This window comes from Homo sapiens, chromosome 1 (assembly GCF_000001405.40).
Source record: "Homo sapiens chromosome 1, GRCh38.p14 Primary Assembly".
Classification (NCBI taxonomy): domain Eukaryota; kingdom Metazoa; phylum Chordata; class Mammalia; order Primates; family Hominidae; genus Homo; species Homo sapiens.
Window position 1 is genome coordinate 229,440,251 of NC_000001.11, and position 21,996 is coordinate 229,462,246.

The 21,996-nt window shown below is 39.6% G+C and overlaps 1 protein-coding gene across 2 annotated transcripts in view, besides 4 other annotated features; it reads right to left on the reverse strand.

Moving 5' to 3' along the window:
* The window catches only part of NUP133 (nucleoporin 133), a 68,083-nt gene continuing 46,095 nt past the window's right edge, over positions 9 to 21,996 (reverse strand). Inside the window, exons 20-26 of one of the 2 annotated variants that reach the window (NM_018230.3) lie at positions 20,361 to 20,519; positions 17,911 to 18,046; positions 12,275 to 12,393; positions 10,275 to 10,355; positions 8,876 to 8,940; positions 4,664 to 4,752; positions 9 to 1,790 (exon numbers count right to left, since the gene is read on the reverse strand). In NM_018230.3, the coding sequence (NP_060700.2) occupies positions 1,654 to 1,790; positions 4,664 to 4,752; positions 8,876 to 8,940; positions 10,275 to 10,355; positions 12,275 to 12,393; positions 17,911 to 18,046; positions 20,361 to 20,519 (786 nt within the window). In that variant the 3' untranslated portion in view covers positions 9 to 1,653. Of the gene's footprint in view, positions 1,791 to 4,663; positions 4,753 to 8,875; positions 8,941 to 10,274; positions 10,356 to 12,274; positions 12,394 to 17,910; positions 18,047 to 20,360; positions 20,520 to 21,996 lie in introns of those variants that run through there. The other variant, XM_047424979.1, reaches the window with a different exon arrangement.
* Positions 281 to 821: an enhancer, noted in NCBI's record as "NANOG hESC enhancer chr1:229576278-229576818 (GRCh37/hg19 assembly coordinates)". NCBI's record gives its function as "activates a minimal SCP1, AML or CMV promoter by ChIP-STARR-seq in naive H9 embryonic stem cells {active_cell/tissue: H9 hESC(naive)}" and the evidence as "EXISTENCE:reporter gene assay evidence [ECO:0000049][PMID:30033119]".
* Positions 554 to 603: an enhancer, noted in NCBI's record as "active region_2700". NCBI's record gives its function as "activates an Ori minimal core promoter by ATAC-STARR-seq in GM12878 lymphoblastoid cells {active_cell/tissue: GM12878}" and the evidence as "EXISTENCE:reporter gene assay evidence [ECO:0000049][PMID:35858748]".
* Positions 664 to 723: an enhancer, noted in NCBI's record as "active region_2701". NCBI's record gives its function as "activates an Ori minimal core promoter by ATAC-STARR-seq in GM12878 lymphoblastoid cells {active_cell/tissue: GM12878}" and the evidence as "EXISTENCE:reporter gene assay evidence [ECO:0000049][PMID:35858748]".
* Positions 7,512 to 7,806: an enhancer, noted in NCBI's record as "tiled region #12306; K562 Activating DNase matched - State 5:Enh". NCBI's record gives its function as "activates a minimal TATA promoter and a strong SV40 promoter by Sharpr-MPRA in K562 cells {active_cell/tissue: K562}" and the evidence as "EXISTENCE:reporter gene assay evidence [ECO:0000049][PMID:27701403]".

Below are 21,996 nucleotides of genomic sequence, written 5' to 3' on the forward strand. Positions count from 1 at the left end.
TCAAAATCCTAGGTCTTAATTTCATTTTTACTGTTAAAATAATTTTTAAAAACTCAACCATTTGGGTGTAATAGCTACTAACTTAGAGAGAAACAGGATTAAAAGAGGGAGCTTTTTCTTCCCTTGAACAGGATGACTCTACTTCACACGGTAAGAGCAGTCGTTCTACGTCCACGCGATCAGTGGGTTCTGGGGCATGATCAGATGGGCTTTCCTGCGGTACTGTCCCATACACCAGGGATCACCAGGTTTGCAGCAGCACGGGAGGGAGATGGGAGCCTGTGTGTCTCGCAGCACATTATCACCCGACAGGGTCCTACAGGTGAGACGTGAACACTGACAGCTGACCTCCACGTAAAAGCAAAGCCTCATCTTACGATACAAGTACTCAGCGGTTTCTTACTGGCCATCTGACAAGCTGCTCTTCCTAACTTCTCTTAGTACCTTCCAACATGTTCCTAACCCAGACCCTAATGCTGTCCTAACATACAAGCTGCAAAGAGAAAAAGAACAGGCTGCTAATTTCTTCCCTTTGATTTACAAACAGCTCCATTAACCTGCTCTTCCAAACATACTCAAGGGCTGGCCTTGCAGCCTGCGGGGGAGACGGCCTGATGCTGGGCTCTGTGAATCCAGGAACCGGACTCTTCACCATGTTTAACTTCTGACCTTTTCAGCTGCTGGAGCAAGATGGTTAGTGGGCATTCTACTGGGCCAAGCCGCGGACATGCCAGCAACTCCCTGTCCAACCTCTGGCCTTTATTTAAAACCCAGATAAACATTGAGTGAGTGATGACACTGGTCAGGACAAAGCTCTGAGAGTACAGTACCTTTCAGTCACATCAATTGCCATATTAGGAAAACCTATAATGGTTTCTAGTATCATTCATGCTTTTGACTAGCTAGGCAGACTGTGGTAAAGATTCATGAGTCATTCTGAAAATACATGAGGCTGGCTGAATCCCCACACTGAAAGATTAGAACTAAACATCAACAGTAATTTCTAGATAGGTTAGAAAACCACATAAACGTTTCATTCACTAAAATACTTTCATTAGTGCTCATTTATTATTTATGTAGAAAAGTTTAAAATGCTCCCAATGAGTTCATCAGTTATCAAGCTCACATGAGTTAGGCCCACTCTCCTTTGGTTTTTCATCTCATAATAAGTCAGCAAAAGTTGACATTTATCTTACTAGACATTTCCCATTAGCCCTAACTGAAACAGATATCAAACACCCTAGATTCTCTTCAGTGCAAAGTATCTGGAGTCACAGCAATTTTAGAGACAAGCTAGTGCAATCTAGTAATTTTCATAGTCGCAGAAACTGAGGCCTAGAAGTGATTTGTACATGTGAGCAGCTAGAACCAGGACAAGAACTCCAGAACCTGGGACCACGTGAGAGTAAAAAGAAAGGGCACCGAGTACAGGAACAACAACTGACACATTTCAGGTGGAAAAAACAAGTCACATAACTGAAAACCAAAATCACAGTTACATAACTATTTTATATTAGCTTCCTACATATAAAGTATAAAAACTCAGCTATACATGTTATGAAATTGTACAAACTTACACTTGTTTATGGCCTAAAATTTGTATAAGGACACACTTATACAGATTTCATAAACAATGGCCATTTTTAGAAAAAGTTATATTTGTCCCTGAACATAATATTCATAATTTGCTTTCAAAACAAACTCGAAGTAAGGATTGGACTTTAAGCTTCCAAGCTGATCCGCTTGTAGCAGGTCTTTCACCTCCGGTAAGTACTCACTGAGCTGAATGCCTATAAACACAAACACAAGAAGTCATTTTTCAATTATTATAAAATGCTCAAATGAATTCTGATGATTGATGACAAAAGCACCTGTGCTTCTATTTAAATATAACGTCACTTTGCTGTTGGGAAATACTCTCTTCTAAATTCCTTCCATCTGTCAAACATACTTTCAAGTCTAACAATGTGATATCCTTTACAGGGGCTGCCTGAGTGTTTTTCCCTCCAGTGGTCAAAATAGCCATTCTATTTAAAGTGTTTAATAAGATCTGAAACGTTTTCATGTATTCCCAAGCTTGAAAACAAGTATTTCAAACACTTATATGATCCCCTATTTAGGGAATAATTTAGTAGAAACACTGTTATGAACGCTAGCTACAGGATCTCAAAATGTGTTTACAGTATAAATCTAAAATTAGATAGGCAAAAGAATCATTTCTTCACAAGTCATCCATAGAGCTGAAAAGACAGTGAACATGAACTAAATGGATTGTTTGACATCTGTGTAGTTACAAACAAACATACACAATTTTCTCATTTGACAAATAGAGAAAACTGGATGAAAATTTTCAAATTAATAAGCCAATAATATTTTTATAATTTGTTACATTACCATAAGATTCTCAAAATCAGATACTGGTTTAAAAAAAAAACTCAAAGGGCCTTGCATCATTTTTTGGTTCTTTTTTTTTTTTTTTTTCAGGCGGAGTCTCACTCTGCTGGCCAGGCAATGGCGCGATCTCGGCTCACAGCAACCTCTGCCTTCTGGGTTCAAGCGATTCTCCTGCCTCAGCCACCCCGGTAACTAGGATTACAGGTGCCCACCACTACACCCGGCTAATTTTTTGTATTTTTAGTAGAAATGGTGTTTCACCATGTTGGCCAGGCTGGTCTTGAACTCCTGACTTCAAGTGATCCACCCACCTCAGTCTCCTAAAGTGTTGGGATTACAGGCATGAGCCACTGTGCCCAGCCTATTTTTTGGTTCTTAATTGTAGTTTTTATTTTTTATTGAGACAGGGTCTCCACTCTGTCACCCAGGCTGGAGTGGAATGGTACGATCGTAGCTCACTGTAGCTTCAATCCTTTGACCTTTCGAGCTCAAGTGATCCTCCCACCTCAGCTTCCTGAGTAGCAGGGACTATAGGCATGCACCACGAAGCCTAGCTAATTTTTTTTTTTTTTTCTGTAGAGGTGGGGGTCTTGCTATGTGGCCCAGGCTGGTCTTGAACTCCTGAGCTCAAGGGATTCTCCTGCCTCGGCCTCCCAAAGTGCTGGGATTACAGGCGTGAGCTACCGTGCCTGGCAAAATAAGACTTTTATAACACCATTCTCAACTATTAAATGTTGGTGACTAACTAGAAAAAAATTTAAACTCCATTTAATGAGACATGCATTTTGTTCTGTATGTATAATGTATTTCAGGTAACATGTAAAAACAAACCTTGTGGGTAATTTAAATATGTCTGCAGGAAGAATGCACAGGCTGAAGTAGCTGTTGCACTGTCAATGCCTATGAAATATAATGCAAGGTTATCTGTATCTCCCTACCTTCAGAATCTGTCCTTTAAAAACACTATTGTACATGAAAGCCATATTAAGAAGGTTCCAAAAGTACATTTGTCCTGTTATTAAAAAACCGCACGCCTTATATATGTAAAATATACATATATAATACACACACATATATAATTTTTTTTTTTTTTTTTTTTTTTGAGACGGAGTCTCGCTCTGTCACCCAGGCTGAAGTGCAGTGGCACCATCAGAACTCACTGCAGCCTTCACCTCCTGGGCTCAAGCAATCCTCCTACCTCAGCCTCCCCAGTAGCTGGAAACACAGGCATGCACCCCTGTGCTCAACTCTTTTTTTTTTTTTTTTTTTTTTTTAAAATAGGGACAGGATCTCCCTATGTTGCTCCAGCTGGTCTTGAACTACTGGGCTCAAGTGATTCTCCCACCTTGGCCTCCCAAAGTGTGAGCCACTGCACCTGCCTATATTTTTATTTAAATAAAAGTTTCAGCTGGGCGTGGTGGCTCATGCCTGTAATCCCAGCAATTTGGGAGGCTGAGGCGGGCAGATCACGAGGTCAGGAGTTCGAGGCCAGCCTGACCAACATGGTGAAACCCTGTCTCTACTAAAAATACAAAAATTAGCCAGACATGGTGGTGCGTGCCTGTAATCCCAGCTACTCAGGAGGCTGAGGCAGGAGAATCACTTGAACCCAGGAGGTGGAGGTTGTAGTAAGCTGAGATTGAGCCACTGCACTCCAGCCTGGGCAACAGAATGAGACTCCGTCTCAAAAAAAAGAAAAAAAAAAGTTTCCACTGTTCTTGTCCTTTATGAAATTATGACTTTCCATTCCTGTTTTTCACCTGTTTTATAATCCACTAAGAATAACAAAAACTGCAAAGCTGCCCTTAAATATTAGTGCTAGATACTTAATTAGACACAATTCAGTCTGTGGCATTTTTACAGCTATGAAAGGAAGCTACAAATCTGAATACTAATGCTTGGAGATCAGTGTGGACAGACTCCAAATGAAAGCTTCTTGGTTCTTTTTTTTTTTTCTTTAGACAGAGGCCAAGGCAGGTGGATCATGAGGTCAGGAGTTCGAGACCAGCCTGGCCAATATGGTGAAACCCTGCTTTTACTAAAAATACAAAAATTAGCCAGGCATGGTAGCACAGGTCTGTAGTTCCAGCTACTCCAGGGGCTGAGGCAGAAGAATTGCTTGAACCCGGGAGGTGGAGGCTGCACTGAGCCGAGATCATACCACTGCACTCCAGCCTGAGTGACAGAGCAAGACTCCGTCTCAAAAAAAAACCCAAAAAACTGAGGAATGACACTGTAATTTCCAACGGTATAGTAACAAACCACTTACCATCTTTTAAAAGTTTCTGTAAGATCTTCACAAATATACTGTCTTTAGATACTTCAATTGGATCATCTTTGCCATCAGAACTGGACCAGCTAGAAAACAAAATCATTATGAGGGAAAAATGAAATCACTGATATAGCTGAATTAAATGATTTGTTTGCTATCATGGTTTTATTTTGATGGCTGTGGGGGATGGAGAATCTGAGTTTTGTGATACTGTTTCAAATCATTTAAATAAAGGCACTTTACATGCTGAATACCCTGACAGTTTCTACATTAGATATAAGACATTACACTCTAGGGAACATGCAAGAGACGCCAAGGAAAACACATTTAAAAAAAGATGTTATACTCAAGGTAGCTACTGACTCAATATAACTCTTACCTATTTGATTTCAGAAACCAAGTAGTGAGGTATCTTTCTGAAGAAAATTCTATTAGTAAGTAACATATTCAGTATGGACCCCAAAGTATGACTCACTGCAGCTTCGAACTCCTCCAGCTCAAGTGTTCCTCCCACCTCAGCCTCCCGAGTAGCTAGGACCATAGGCATGCAACCACTTTGTGCCTGGCTAATTTTTTACTTTTGTGTAGAGACAAAGTCTCGCTATGTTCCCAGGCTGGTCTTGAACTCCTGGGGTCCAGCAATCCTCCTGTCTTGGCCTCCCAAAGTGCTGGGATTGCAGGCATGAGCCACTGGACCCAGCCAGAAGCTTTCTTTATGTAGTTGTGACTATCTACTACTAAAATAAAAATACCAAACCACTGCTCTGTAATCAATGGACATGATAACTTTAAAATTTTTAAACAAGAAACTAAGACAAGGAATTCTAATCAAAATGATAGCATCCTTTTGTATGACTGGGATGGGACCAAACAATCAAGTAGGCAGAAAGCTAGAAGCTTCAGGGACTGACCTCTAAGACTAAACTTAACAGCAATTTTAACTATTTTGGAATGATCAGAGGAGGGAAGAAATGCTTTAGTAAAAATAGCTCTTCTATAATATTTTACCACAGGAAAAAGGAAAATTGTGAGTAGGAGAAGGCTTTTAGCAGTCAATTCATGCTTTGTTTAAAATTCTTTTCCTGGAAAGAATTTGTTCCTTCAACTGATTATTCTTAGTCTTTGTCATTGAATCGTAACATAAACACCATTTCCATAGGTGGAAGTCCTCCTCTGCAGAAAGGATATGATTGTGAGAAAGTAGTACTTGCCAGGCGCGGTGGCTCATGTCTGTAATCCCAGCACTTTGGGAGGCCGAGGCAGACAGATCACCTGAGGTTGGGAGTTTGAGACCAGCCTGACCAACATGGAGAAACCCGGTCTCTACTAAAAATACAAAAAAATTAGCTGGGCGTGGTGGCGCATGCCTGTAATCCCAGCTACTTGGGAGACTGAGGTAGGAGAATCGCTTGAACTTGGGAGGCGGAGGTTGCGGCGAGCCGAGATTGAGCCACTGCACTCCAGCCTAGGTGACAGAGTGAGGCTCTGTCTCAAAAACAAAAAACAAAACGAACAAACAAAAAAAAGAGAAAGTAGTACTTAATGCCTTAGAAAAGGGCACTGACCCTCAAATTGTAGTAACTTAAAAAACAAAATAGGCCAGAAGATCGAGAACATCCTGGCTAACAAAGTGAAACCCCATCTCTACTAAAAATACATTAAAAAAAATTAGCTGGGTGTGGTGGCAGGCACCTGTAGTCCCAACTAATCGGGAGGCTGAGGCGGGAGAATGGCATGAACCCGAGAGGTGGAGCTTGCAGTGAGCCAAGATTGTGCCACTGCACTCCAGCCTGGGCAACACAGCCAGACTCCATCTCAAAAAAAAAATTTTTTTTTAATAAAAAATAAAAATAAATAAATAAAACAAAATCATAGCTTCGAGTCTCGTTTGGCATGACAAGCCTCACTTCTGCAAAAATAAGGGATGTGGCCGGGCATGGTGGCTCACGTCTGTAATCCTAGCACTTTGGGAGGCCGAGGCAGGCAGATCACAAGGTCAGGAGTTCGAGACCAGCCTGACCAACATGAAGAAACCCTGTCTCTACTAAAAATACAAAATTAGCCAGGCGTGGTGGTACACGCCTGCAATCCCAGCTACTCGGGAGGTTGAAGCAGGAGAATCACTTGAATCCGGGAGGCGGAGGTTGTGGTGAGCCGAGACTGTGCCATTGCACTCCAGCCTGGGCAACAAGAGTGAAACTCCATCACAAAAAAAGAAAGAAAATAAGGGATGTGTATTTCTATGCAAACTGACAACCTAAATTTTAAAATCAAAAGTAGTGATTTATTATATGAGTGGTCCTAAGTCTTTAGGCTATTCTTGCTATTCTTAACTATTAAAATAGAGAAGACCAAGACTAAATAAATATTACTAATGTAACCATTAAAATTTTCATAATATGTATGTTACAATATGGTTAGAAGGTTATAAAACCATTTGACATATAATATCATAATCTTCCTGTAATACTGTGAAATATGTATTTGGTCTTCTTCTTCACCCCACTTCCTGCTTTGCAACTCCTAAAATCCTTAGGATCTCCATAGATGTCTTTTTTTTTTTTTAATACTATTGAGTTGGCTGACAGCTGGCAGCCCCCAGCTAGCTTCAGGATAGGGGCTGGTCACCAGAAAAAGCATAATTAGAGTTGGGACTTTTCAGCCCTGTTCCTCAATATCCAGGGAGGGAAGAGGGGCTGAAGGTTAAATTGGTCACCAACTTTAATCAATCATGTCTACATAACGAAGCTTCCATAAAAACACAAAACGACAGGGTTTGAAGAGCTTCCTGATAGCTGACACGTGGAGGTTCCTGGAAGGTGGAGGGCCAGAGAGGCTTTGGAAGTTCCAAGCCCCTTCCCCTATACCTCACCCCATGATCTCCTCATCTGTATTCTATGTGATACTTTCAGATGCGTTAGAATCAGCATTCCCAGGAGGTTAGGAATTCTTAGTCACAGGATGAGACAGGAGGTCAGCAGGACTGGTATCACAAGACACAGGTCACAGTGACCCCACTGATAAGACAGGATGTGGTAAAGAAGCCAGCCAAAACCCGCCAAAACCCGCCAAAACCAAGAGAGTGGTCTCTAGTCGTCCTCGCTGCTCATTATACACTAATTACAAAGCATTAGCATGCTAAAAGACACTCCCACCAGCACCACAATAGTTTACAAAGACTGTGGCAACCAACGTTGGGAAGTTACCTTATATAGTCTAAAAACGGGAGGAGCCGGGCGTGGTGGCTCACGCCTGTAATCCCAGCATTTTGGGAGGCTGAGGTGGGCAGATCACCTGAGGTCTGGCGTTCCACAGCAGCCTGACAAACATGGTGAAACCCTATCTCTACTAAAAATACAAAATTAGCCAGGGCTGGTGGTACATGCCTGTAATCCCATTTACTTGGGAGGCTGAGGCAGGAGAATTGCTTGAACCCGGGAGGCAGAGGTTGCAGTGAGTCAAGATCGCACCACTGCACTCCAGGCTGGGCAACAAGAGCTAAACTCTGTCTCAAAATAAAAAAATAAAAAAATAAAAATAAAAAGGGGAGGAACCCTCAGTTCTGGGAACGTCTCATGCCTTTCCAGAAAAACTCATGAATAATGCACCCCTTGTTTAGCACATAATCAACAAATAACCATAAGTATACTCAAGTCAAGCAGCCCACGCCGCTGCTCTGTGTAAGAAGTAGCCATTCTTTTATTTTCTTCTCTAATAAATTTGCTTTCACTTTACTCTGTGGACTTGCCCCAAATTGTTTCTTGCACGAGATCCAAGAAGCCTCTCCTGGGGTCATCGGGACCGCTCTCTGGTAACAACACCCTTTATAATAAATTGGTAGGTGTGTTTTCCTGAGTTCTATGAGCTGCTCTAGCAAATTAATCAAACCCAAGGAGGGGGTTGTGGGAACCCCAATTTATAGCTGGTCGGTGAGGAACACAGGCAAAACCCCCTGGTGCTTAAATTGGCATCAAAGTCAGGGGCAGTCTGAGCCCTCAACCTGTGGTTGTAGATTGTATCAGGACTGAACTAAATTAAAGGACATTCAGCTGGTGCCCACCAACAGAACTCACTGGTTGCCCAGTGTAGGAGGTGGGAAATCCCAACACGTCTGGTCACAGAAGTCTTCTGTTATTGACTGTCATGTGGTGAGAGCAGAGGAAAAGCAGTTTCTATACTTTCCAAAGAAGCAATGCCACGAGCACTTACTTATCTCTCTGAAGAGCTTTGCAAAGGATTTCCAGTTTTAGATCATTTATATTTATATCTTCTTCCTTCACAGCAAAACAAAAAAAATCCTGATTAAATCCTGGCTCTGAAAGAAATACATGCCTAAATTTTCATTATGTTAATACTACATACATAGAAGCCAATTAATATCTATGAATTACTTTCAGGTTACTCTGTGGTGATGATGATTTTATCAGCAACCTTGAGAGGGGTAAGAGTTTTTCTTTTTTTTTTTTTTTGAGACGGAGTCTCGCTCTGTCGCCCAAGCTGGAGTGCAGTGGCGCGATCTCAGCTCATGGCAACCTCTGCCTCCCTAGTTCAAGCAATTCCCCTACCTCAGCCTCCCAAGTAGCTGGGATTATAGGCACACACCACCACGCCCAGCTAATTTTTTTTGTATTTTTAGTAGAGACAGGGTTTCAGCATGTTGGCCAGACTGGTCTCGAACTTCTGACCTCAGGCAATCCGCCCACCTTGGTCTCCCAAAGTGCTAGGATTACAGGTGTAAGCCACCTCGCCCGGCCTGAGAGGGGTAAGATTTTAAAATAAGGTAATGTAAAAGTCAACATATTATGTTTCTAAAATCTACCAAATTACTTTCAATTGCATCGACAGGTAATAGAACTACTTATCCTACAGAATTTTCACTATAACCTGTTGAAACACAAGAAACAGCTACTCTTAGGATGAATACTATGAAGATTTTATATATATATATATATATATATTTTTTTTTTTTTTTTTTTTTTTTTTGAGACAGTCTCACTCTGTCGCCCAGGCTTGAGTTCAGTGGCATGATCTTGGCTCACTGCAACCTCTGCCTCCTGGATTCAAGAGACTCATGCCTCAGCCTCCCAAGTAGCTGGGATTACAGGCGTGCGCCACCATACCCATCTAATTTTTTTTTTTTTGTATTTTTTTGTATTTTTAGTAGAGGTGGAGTTTCACCATGTTTGCCAGGCTGGCCTCAAACTCCCAACCTCAGGTGATCTGTCTGCCTCGGCCTCCCAAAGTGCTGGGATTACAGGCGTGAGCCACTGCACCCAGCCAGAATAAACTGATAAAGTCGTATATTACCTTCAGAAACTAATGACTTAATAAATGAAAGACAAAAAAATATTTCAGGACTTTGAAAAGCAGTATTTATCTGTGCACAAAAAAAGATACCCAGGAATGTGTGAGAATTATCACAAAAGGGAGTCTCTTGACCTTGACAGCTTTTCTGAAGAGTTGTTTACATTCTAAGGATTAAAGGTAGTTGAACCACAGATACAGTCTTTTTTGCTTAATTCATTTTCATGATTGACTAAAAGAGGGATCTCCCTCTTTTTATATATGTATTCAGTTGCCTGAGATCATCTCAAGCAATTTTACTTACCTCATCAATATATTCCAACAAGTCCAAAGCTTTCTTGAAATCATATTCATTAGCTCTTCTATTTTCTTCACAGATATATAGCTATGACAAGTTAAAATAAGGTAGAAGATTATACAATCATGTAACTAATACTAGAGACATTTATGGAGAAAAGAAGTCATTATGTCTTGTAAGGAAGTTGTAGTTTGTTTTTTGTTTGTTTGTTTGTTTGTTTTTTTTGAGACAAAGTCTTGCTCTGTCACCCAGGCTGGATTGCAGTGGCACGATCTCAGCTCACTGAAACTTCTGCCTCCCAGGTTCAAGTGATTCTCCTGCCTCAGCCTCCTGAGTAGCTGGGATTACAGGAATCCATCACCACACCTGGCTAATTTTTGTATTTTTAGTAGAGAAGATTTCACCCTGTTGGCCAGGCTGGTCTCAAACTCCTGACTTCAAGTGATCCGCCTGCCTTGGCCATCCAAAGAGCTGGGATTTTAGGCGTGAGCCACTGCACCTGGCCAGTTGTATTTTTATAGTAAAAACAGTCTCATATTTGGAAACTGTATTGCATCCACCTTAAAATAAACTGTCTTTTTAAAAAATGCATATTTTAGGCACGGCACAGTGGCTCATGTCTATAATCCCAGCTCTTTGGGAGGCCGAGGCAGGCAGATTCCTTGAGAACAGGAGTTCGAGACCAGCCTGGGCAACATGGAGAAACCTCGTCTCTACAAAAAGTATAAAAATTAGCTGGGTACAGTGGTGCACACCTGTGGTCCCAGCTACTCCAGAGGCTGAGGTAGGAGGGTCACCTGAGCTTGGGAGGTCAAGGCTGCAGTGAGCTGTGACAGGGCCACTGCACTCCAGCCTGACAGCCCGAGCAATACCAAGATCTTGTCTCTAAAAAAAAATTGAGACCTACAATAAAGTGTACAGTTGATCTATATTCACTTAATAAAAAAACACATCAACATGTTACCAACACTTATCCCTGGTTAGATTACAGCTGACTGCATACTCATTTCTGTATTCTTCAAATTTCCTGTAATTTTTATGGTCAGAAAAATACTTGCCTTATTAAAAATATCAATTTGAATTTTTCCCATCTTCCTTTCCCAAAAACTATAATTTCATTTTTTAAAAATTGTATGTGTAATCCTTTAATAGCAACAATACTCAGACCATTTCAGAAAAAAAGCTATCTGCTTGTGTTCATTGTCTTACAGCACTCAAAAGATAATAGTTTTATTTTGTTGTTCTTGAACATCCTTTTTACTCCACCATCTCTGAAATTGGACTGTGGTATTAAAATTAATAATGCATTAGAGTAAAATCGGCACTACTTTTTTCTTAGTGATACTCAATAGTGAGTTACAATAGAGAGTAACTTCCATTTCCAAATTAAATATATATTCTATCAGGAGAGGCTGTTGTAAATTCAGTTATAACAGGAAATCTGTTACTAATAATGGCTAAAATGCTAATGTATTTTAATTGTTTGCCTTTTCATATAGATAGAACACATTTAAGGTGATCCTACATCACTCTGGCAAAGAGATGCTTCTTCTCTAGACTGCAGTCCGTATTCTGGCTCTGCCCTCGGGGATGTGTTGGGTTGCAGAGGAAAGGGGTAAGGACAGAACTGCTAGACCATGTAAACTGAGTTCCTTAATCCATTTTTTCTTATAGAAGAGCTTGAAAAGTAATTTTGTGGGGGAAATAAAGTTATCTCATGGTACTTATTTGTCCTATACTAGAAAAGCAAAATATAAGTAATTTCTCCTGGTCACCTAGATAAAGCACCTTTAGGTGGAGGTGTATGGGGAGGCAGATGCTGATTAATTTTTCTCTAATTAGCTTTCTGTTCCCAAACAGCTTCAAACAACGTTTTTCTAGGGGAGTTTTCTGGAAGGTAGGCAGTAGAACAATAACTCCTCTTAGGAACTATACTACATGGCCCAACAAACACCAAAAAGGTTTTGAGTTTAAGAAATAGCGTTAAGGATTTGAAAAGCACATACACCAATGAGTTGTGGTGCAGTCAATACTGGCATCGCACTGAGATTTAGCTGTTTCTCCGCCAGCAGCTGTTCAGGTAGGGTCTCCTGATGCAGTAGAAAGCGCTCCTGCTCAGCCATTTCTAGTATTCAAGATGAGAGGGAGGGAAAGAGAATATGATGAAATTTGACTTTTGCTCTCATTTTTGCTGTCATAAAACAAATCTGAATTTTAAAAGAAAAAAATAGCTCCAGAGGTAAACCTATCTTTATTCAATGATCTCAGAATGCTTTTAATTCTTATTCTTGATTGCCGGTTATGTTTACAACATATCCATGGTTTGATCAAAGTCCTAAGAATTATCACAGCAACGAGAAATAGGAGGGAAGAGAACAAGTAAGGAAATACGTTCAATGCTTGAAGAAGTTGGAGAGCAGATAGCTATTTCATGAGGTATAAGCTTCCTAAGTGTGGAGATCTCTCCATCATATTTTATAATTCAGTAAAATTTTTCCCACTAGAATTTATAGTATATAGTTGGCCCTTGAATAACAAGGGGGATGGGCCACTAAGCTCCCGTGCTGTCAAAAATCCCAGCATAACTTTTTAAAGAGATGGGGTCTTGCTATGCTGCCCAGGCTGGTCTCAAACTCTTGGGCTTGAGTGATCCTCCTGTTCTAGCCTCCCAAAGTGTTGGGAGGGTAACTTTCGACTCCCCAAAAGCTTAACTGCTGCTGCCAGCTTCACAAATTTCCATTTTTTAAAAAATAATGGTCATTAAGCTAGACTAATTTATATTGAAATGGGGATAGCCAAAACTGCAGACCTCAGTCTGTGGTGCATATCAAGCAATTCCACTTCTTGTAATGTCACGACTTTCCTAGGCTTCTTGGGAGCATGTCTAGCATCACCTAGTGGCACTTCATATGAGTCTCAAGGTGTTATTTAAGGTTTATGGTATTGCATTAAACACAGGAAAAAATACTCGAGAACTATGAGAAATCACTTCTTACTGCAATAGGAAATTTACTTTTTGCTGCAATAGGCAATTTACTGGGGTGTAGACAAACTTCTCAAACAGAGATGATCAGAATCATTTTAACTGGATCATCACTTTAATTGGGGTTTTAATTGAATACTGTTAACACTTCAGCAAGCGGACACTTGCCCACAATAGCAATAGGAGGTGGCTATGAAATTATTACAGTAAGTACAGTATGTATTAGTTAATTCTGTGATTTAATGCTGCCTATTTACATTGTTTACATTTGCCTCCACTGTGAATGGTGCTATGTGAGGTCTGTGTTTGTGTGTTGATAAATTTTAACTTTTTATAACAGACCTGTGTATGTTCTATGGTAGTAAATGATAAAATAGACTACATATGTTTTATGTATTCATAACCTGTCTTTTTCTTAATTTTTTTTTGGTATATCTAGGCTACACAGTTATACATGGTGTATATCTATGAGTGTTTTCATGTTGTTGAAAATCTCCGAAATATATTGATTGAAAATAATCTGCATGTAAGTGGACCCATGCAGTTCAAGCTCATGTTGTTCAAGGGTCAACTGAGTTTCATTCGCAAATGGAAATGATGTAAAAGCTACCATGAGTCTATCAAGAAAAACAAGACCTGGAAGAATATACAGCACATCTCCTAGGCAGCAAGGGTTATCTCCATTGGATGAGGTAACAGGGGCTTCTGTTTGCCATAAACTCTCCAGGTTGCAGCCCATGACCTGACTCCGCCCCAGGGAATGTGCTGAGTTGCAGGAAAGGGTGAAAACTGCTAGGCAGCCTCATAAACACAGCATTCACAGCAAAACAGTGACCAAAACACAGATACTTTCGCTCAAATACTGGCAGCATTCCCCGTGATCCTGGTTTTGGAAAAATTAAATGGAACACTTTTGTCCATTTCTGTACCTAGAAAATCAGACTGGGAGGAAACCCACAAAACAGTACCAGTGGCTATCTCCGGGGAGGTAGGACTACAGACAACTTATTTTTCCTATTGAATTTTTTCTATAATTTACACATTTTCCATGAGGAATTATTTAACTACCAGAAGAGTTATTTTTAAAAAGTCTATCCCCTCCGATTAGACACATTGTGCTAACAGTCTGTAGAATCACTGAGACCTGCAAATGTTCCCATCGCGTTAAGAAATAAAAGCTAAGAAGTGATCAAATGCAAAGCAGGGAGAAAGAAGAAACAGGAAAGCCTTGGTTAAAATGCTTTGATTAACATGATCTACCTCTGGTGGCCAGGCTAAAATATGGCTTCCCCTCTTAGACTATCAGCCAGTCCTATAGAATATAAACACACTTTTTTTAGAACAGGCGCTACTAGTGCAAAAAATAAAAAGATTGAAGGAAGATTATCCCAAACAGTAAAAAATAATTTTAATAAAAGGGGCTAATACCTATAATTTATTGAGTACTTAATATATGCAAGCCATTTTTCCCAAGACAGTGTCCTCAATCCTTACAACTACCCTTGTTATAGATGAACAAACTGAGGCGAAGGAGCATAAATTAACTATCCAAGGTCACAAAGCTAGTAAGTTCTGGAGAAAATATTGAAATCCCAATTCTTTCTACTATATCCACTCCCTCAAAAGGAAAAAAATGACAGCAGTATAATTTAAACCCAGATCTTAGGCTGGACTCTGTGGATAAGCCACATAACCAGATATCCATATCTGCATATACTTGATCCAAACCACATAGCTGAGATTCCCCGCTCCAATTTTTATTTTGAAAAATTCCAGGCTGGGTGTGGTGGCTCATGTCTATAATCCCAGCACTTTGGAGGCCGAGGTGGGCACACTGCTTGAGCCCAGAAGTTTTGAGACCAGCCTGGGTACACATGGTGAAACCCCATCTCTACAAAAAAATACAAAAATTAGCCGGGCATGGGAGCATGCACCTGTAGTCCCAGCTACTGGGGAGGCTGAAGCAAGAGCATCACCTGAGTCTAGGAGTCCGAGGCTGCAGTGAGCCATGATTGTGCCACTGTGCTCCAGCCTGGGCAACAGAGTGAGACCCTGTCTCAGAGAAAATAAATAAATAAAAATAAAAAACAGAAAAAGTCCAAATCTACAGAAAAAATTTTAAAATGCCAATGTGCACGTTATATCCTCCAGCTAGAGTCATCTGTTGCTAACACTCTGTCCCTTTTGCTTTCTCTATGTATATAGGTAATTTTTTTTCAGCATATGAAGGTTGCAGACATCATGACATTTCATTTCTAAATACTCAGCATGTATCTCCTAAAAACAAGGACATTCAACCACAATACGATTATCAGGCTTATATAATTTAACATCAATACAGTTATATCATCTAATACTAAGTATGTTCAAACTTTCTCCCACTTGTTTCCAAAACATTCACCATAACTGTTACGGTTATTTTGAGGGTGATTCAGGATCAAGAATCTCGCTCTGCATTTGCTTCTGTGTCATGGCTCTTAGGTTCCTTTCATCTAAAACAGCCTGTCTTTTGTCTTTCATGTTGGTAAAGTTTTTGAAGAGTCTAGGGCAACTGTATTATACAATGTCCCACCAGCAGGTTATGTCTGATTGTTCTCTTGTAATTAGAATAAGGGTGAACATTTTGGCAAGAACAGGACACACGTGATGGTAGTACATTGCTTCAGGAGTGGTACACAATGTGGTTTGTTTTGTGGTTGATGACAGGGTCTATTAGATTTGTCTACTGATACTCCAAAACCACGGGAATATCCTGTTCCCCTAGCCCCTAAACTCAATGGTCTCAGCATCCTCTGGTGACCAGTTATTCACCGTGGTTGTAATAGTGACTTCTGCCATTGTTTTCACATTTATTAGTTGGCATTCTCCTGTAAAGAAGCATTTCACTGACCCTCTCCCTTTTTGAAAATCACTGTAGACTCATGAATTTTTTTGTCTTATAAACTGTGGAATATACCCTTTACTACCAATCTTTTGATGTTCAAATAGTCCCCAAACTTGAACAGTGGGAGCTGTTCAAGGCTCTTGTATTATTTTAGTATCTCTACATTAACCTTGCTTTCTGGCCCAATAAGACTCTCCAAGATTTCTTCAATAAGCCCTCACTTCTTTTACTGGAAAACGGTAGTCAGAAACCAACATATGGAACTAGGTATACTCATGCTACTGGGGTGTCACTGCAGAGACAAGAAATACGTATGTGTGTGTGTGTATAGATAAAATGTATATATATGTGTATTGTGTATATATATATACACACAATTTTATATATACACACACACATTTTATTATGTATATCTATCTATCTACATATATATAGAGAGAGACTTTTTTTTTTTTTTTCTGAGGCAGAGTTTTGCTCTGTTGCCCCAGCTGGAGGGCAGTGGCACAATCACATCTCACTGCCACCTCAACCTCCTGGGCTCAAGTGATCCTCTCACCTCAGCCTCCCCAGTAGCTGGGACTACAGGCGCACACCACCACACCTGGCTAAGTTTTAAATTTTTTGTAGAGACAGGTTGTTACTAAGTTGCCTAGGCTGGCACAATCTCCTGGGCTCAAGCAATCCTCCCACGTCAGCCTCCCAAAGTGCTGGGATTACAGGCGTGAGCCACCAAACCCAGCTGATGTATTTTTTTAATTGACGCATAATAATTATACATATTTATGGGGTACAATGTGATGCTTCAATACATGTATATGTTGTGTAATGATCACAGGGTAATTAGCATACCCATCACCTCAAGCAAGAAAATATATTGTTTTTAAAAATCAGATTCTATCTGGTATTTCCAATTCAAATTCAATAATACAGAGTTTTTCTTCACTGTCTTTCTATATTTGTACTCCTCTCTCCTTGGTTCTAAAAAATAATAGCATCATGCCTCAGTATCTGCTGACAACTGGTTCTAGGACCCATAGGAATACCAAAAAGCTCAACTCCCTTATATAAAAACGGTAGTTACTTGCACATAACCCACATACATCCTCCCATATACCTTAAATCACCTCTAGATTATAATACCTCATACAACGTAAATGCTAAGTAAATAGCTGTTATACTGTATTGGTTTTTTAAAATTTGCATTATTTTGTTTTAATTTTGCATTATTTTTGTTGTTTTAATTTTTTTGTTAATTCTCTTGTTGTAATTTTAATTGTTGTTGAATATTTTTAATTCTTTTTTCCCCAAATATTTTTGATGTTTGGTCGAATCTGCAGATGTGGAATCCAAGAATATGAAGGGCCAACTGTACTATATGTAATCGTTTTCATCTACAATATACACAAAATAGTTCAGAATTATTGCACCTATACCACACTACCTACAACAAACCCACTGTGTAAAGGTCAAGATTGCTTTGTAGTTCTTTTTGCCCTTGGAATATTTATCACTAAAGGTACATAATCAGACCTCTCCAATCAAAATCATTTGAGTCTATTCTTTAGGAATTCTTATTTAAAATACAAACTACTTTTCTCTAAAAAAATTCCAAGTATATAATTGAGTAACTACACATGGACATTAACTAAATGCATTCCTCTTAGAGACAGGTCCTGTTTCTAAGAGATAGATCCTGCTAACTGATGACAGGAACACATCATGAGTTAATTGATGGCATGACCAATTTGTAAATCCTTTTGCTCAAATTCTTTCACCTTCAATTTTTTCTTGTAGCATATCCTCTGAAAAGTCTGAAGCTAATGCAGCCAATTTACTCAAGCCAAGAAGGGTTTTCTTCTTTGCAAAGTAACGAGTTTCCATATTTGCCAAACCCAGAAGTGTTGCATGAGCCTACAATAAAATATGCAAACCATCGTAAGATACTGAGTACCAATTCAAGCTGAAACAAAGGTAAGTAAACCCCAAACTTGTTTTTCTCCCCTAAGCCGTATCAATGAATGAGAAGTCAACAGTTAGCAAACCTAAAAACTGAGCAGTACGTAACATTGAGAGTAATTACACAGCAAAATATCAACCATCCTCACTAAATATTGGGAAAAGAGACATGCACAAAACATTTGCTCTAAAACTTACATATTCACCTGAACATCCTGTCAAGAACAAATTTTAAAATTAATTTGTATGTTTTTACTCATAATTTGAATATTACAACAATATACTCATTGCAAAAAGGCCAATGACTGTTACAGACACATCATTAAAATTTTTGTGATTTTAATGTGATGTCAAATCATGATGGACTACATTTTTTTTTTTTTTTTTTTGAGAGAGCCTCACTTTGTCACCCAGGCTGGAGTGCAATGATATAGTCTCAGCTCACTCAACCTTCGCCTCCCGGGTTCAAGTGATTCTCCTGCCTCAGGCTCCTGAGTAGCTGGGATTACAGGCATGAGCCACAGGCACCCAGCCTGGACTACATATTTTTATTGAGATATTAGAATGGCAATACCATCACAAATTAAGAATGTTTTATGCAAATTATGTGGGAAAATAGGAGTACACATTCTAAATAATCCATAAGAAATGCTTTTAAATTTAAAAAAATTATTGTATACTAATGAATTATAATTGTATATATTTATGGATACACAGTAATAATATATGTATGTGATGTGGAATGATTAAATCAAGCTAATTAACATGCCCATCACCTCAAATACCTATCACTGTGGTGAGAACATTTCAAATTTGTTCTCTTGGAAATTCTAAAATGTACAATACACTATTATTAACTTTAGCCATCATATTGTGCAATGTATATAAAAAATGTTCCTGGCTGGGTGCAGTGGCTCATGCCCGTAATCCCAGAACGTTGGGAGGCTGATGTGGGTGGATTGCTTGAGCCCAGGAATTCAAGACCAGCCTGGGCAACACAGTGAGACCCTGTCTCTAAAAAAACAAAAATAAAAATAATCTTCTTCCTTCTAACTGAAACTTGTACCCTTTGACCAACTTCTCCGGCCCATCTCCCCTTTTAAATTGGGTTATTTGTCTTCTTGCAATTGAGCTGAGTTCCTTATATGTATGTATATATGTATATGTGTATGTGTGTACCTGTGTGTGTGTGCGTATAACATCCCCTCACCCTTCTGACAGCCACCATTCTTCTGCTTCCATGAGTTCAATTGTTTTGGATTCCACATATGAGTTATTTGTCTGTGTCTGGCTTATTTGGTTTAGTGTAATGTTCTCCAGCTTCATCAATGCTGTTGCAAATGAGAGAATTTCCTTCTTTCTTAAGGCTATTACTGCATTGTGTATTCTATATACAACATCTTCTTTATCATTTACACTGATTGATGGACACTTAGGTGGATTCCATAACTTGGCTACTGTGAAAATGCTGCAATGAACATGGGAGTGCAGGTACCTTTTCAACATACTGACTTCAACTCCTCTGGATATATACTCACAAGCGGGATTGCCAGATCATATGGTATTTCTATTTTTAACTTTTTCAGGAACCTCCATACAGTTTCCCATAATGGTTGTACTAACTTACATCCCCACCAAGAGTGCATCAGGGTTCCCTTTTCTCCATGTCTTCTCCAGCACTTGTTACCTTCACCTTTTTGGTAACAGCCATTCGAACAAATGTACGGTGATGTCTCATTGTGATATAAATTTGCATTTCCCTAATGATGAGTGATGCAGAACATTTTTTTCACACATCTATTGGTCATCTGCATGTCTTTTTTTGAGAAATGTCTATTCAGGTCTTTTGCCATTCATTCATTCACTTATTTTGAGACAAGGCCTCACTCTGTTGCCTAGGCTGGAGTGCAATGGTGCAATCTCAGCTCACTGCAGCCTCAACCTCCAGAGCTCAAGTGATCCTCCTGCCTCAGCCTCTCAAGTAGCTGGGACTACAGGTGTGTGTCACCACACCTGGCTAATGTTTTTGTTATTTATGTTTCCTAGGCTGGTCTTGAACTCCTGCACTCAAGAGATCCACCTGCCTCAGCCTCCCAAAGTACTGGGATTACAGGTATAAGCCACCATGCCCAGCTCCCTTATATATTTTGGATAGTAACCCCTTCTCAGGTATATGACAGTAAACAGTATTTTAATTACTAAAAACAAAACTAATTAAAACTACCTAAATAAATTGCACACATCTGCTCCATAGAAAAATCCTTCTTACCTTTTCTAATTCTTGGCTATTAATTTCATGTAACCAGCTGAGATGTTCATGAGCTTGCAAAAAATTTGCCAACTGTCCATGCTGAGAAATGGGCTGAGATAATAATTTGCCTCGCTTTCCTTTCTCCAGATACCAACGGAAGAGAAAGTCTGAAAAATTCTACAAATAACAGAACATAGAATTCATTCATAATAGTTTAAAAAAACACATTTCTGATAACAAAACATAACTTTGTTCTAAAGGCCTCCAAAACAGAAAACCTGTTCTAAACAATAATTTCCTATATTGTAGGATCACTTAATTCAATCATCTCATTTGACAGATGTGTACATTGTGATTCAGAAAGGGCATCTTGCTCAAGATCACTGACAAGATTAATGGCAGAATCTAGATGTGCGCTGGCCAATATGGTAGCAACTGGCCATACGTAGCTGTTTAACTTAAATAAAAAATTAGCTTGAAATTTAAAATTCAGTTCCTTAGGTACATTAGCCACATTTCAAGTGCTCAGTAGCCCCATGTGGCCAGTGGCTCCCATTTGGACAGCGCATTATCAACAGCTCCATTATCACAGAAAGCTCTGTGGGACAGCACCGAGACTGTAACATTCCAGAATTCTGCGCCAGCTGGCCACATGGCCTGGCATGATACATCAAAATCTAGAGAGGCCCAAATGCCCAGCCAGTTTTCCCCACTGGCTGTTTGTGGAGTGTTGGGGTGGTGTGGAGGCTGAGCTGGAGAGGAAGACCAAGACGTTCTACAGTCTCACAGTGTTTAAGAGATACTTTCCCTAAAGCAGGGATCCTGCCATGAAAGACTTCTGACACCAGAAATGAAATGAATATTACAAGAGCTGAGACCGAGTCCTGGGCCACCTCTATTCCTAATGAACTGAGTCATCTTCCTCTCCTCTAAATTGCCTAACAGAGAAAAAGGAAAATCCACGAGGGGACAAATAACATCAATTTCCATACTATGGAGTTTTAAAAATATACAATGTCTAAAATACAATTTAAAAATTACCAGATATAGGAAGCAGAAAACTATGATTCAAGCAACATAAAAGCAGGCAACATAAACAGACTCAAAGATGATCAGAGTAAGCACAAAAGGACTTTAAAATAACATTTAAACATGTTAAATATAAGAAAAAATGCAAAAATGCATGAAAAGAGAAAGAAAATCCATAAAAATAATTTTAAAATCATGATCAGTGCAAAAAATATTTATTTAGCAATGTTTTGATATACTAAATAAGCCATGTCCAACTACTGACCTTTTTTTTTTTTTTGAGACGGATTCTTGTTCTGTTGCCCAGCCTGGAGTGCAGTGGCACGATCTTGGCTCACTGCAACCTCCTCCTTTTGGGTTCAAGGGATTCTCCTGCCTCAACCTCCAGAACAGATGGAATTACAGGCACACGCCACCATGACTGGCTAATTTTTGTATTTTTAGAAGAGACGGGGTTTTGCCATGTTGGCCAGGCTGGTCTCGAACTCCTGACCTCAGGTGATCTGCCCACCTCGGCCTCCCAAAGTGCTGGGATTACAGGCGTGAGCCACCTTGCCCAGCCCAACAACTGATCTTTGATGAAGTAAGTCATACCCAGTCAATGAAATACTATAATGCCATTAAA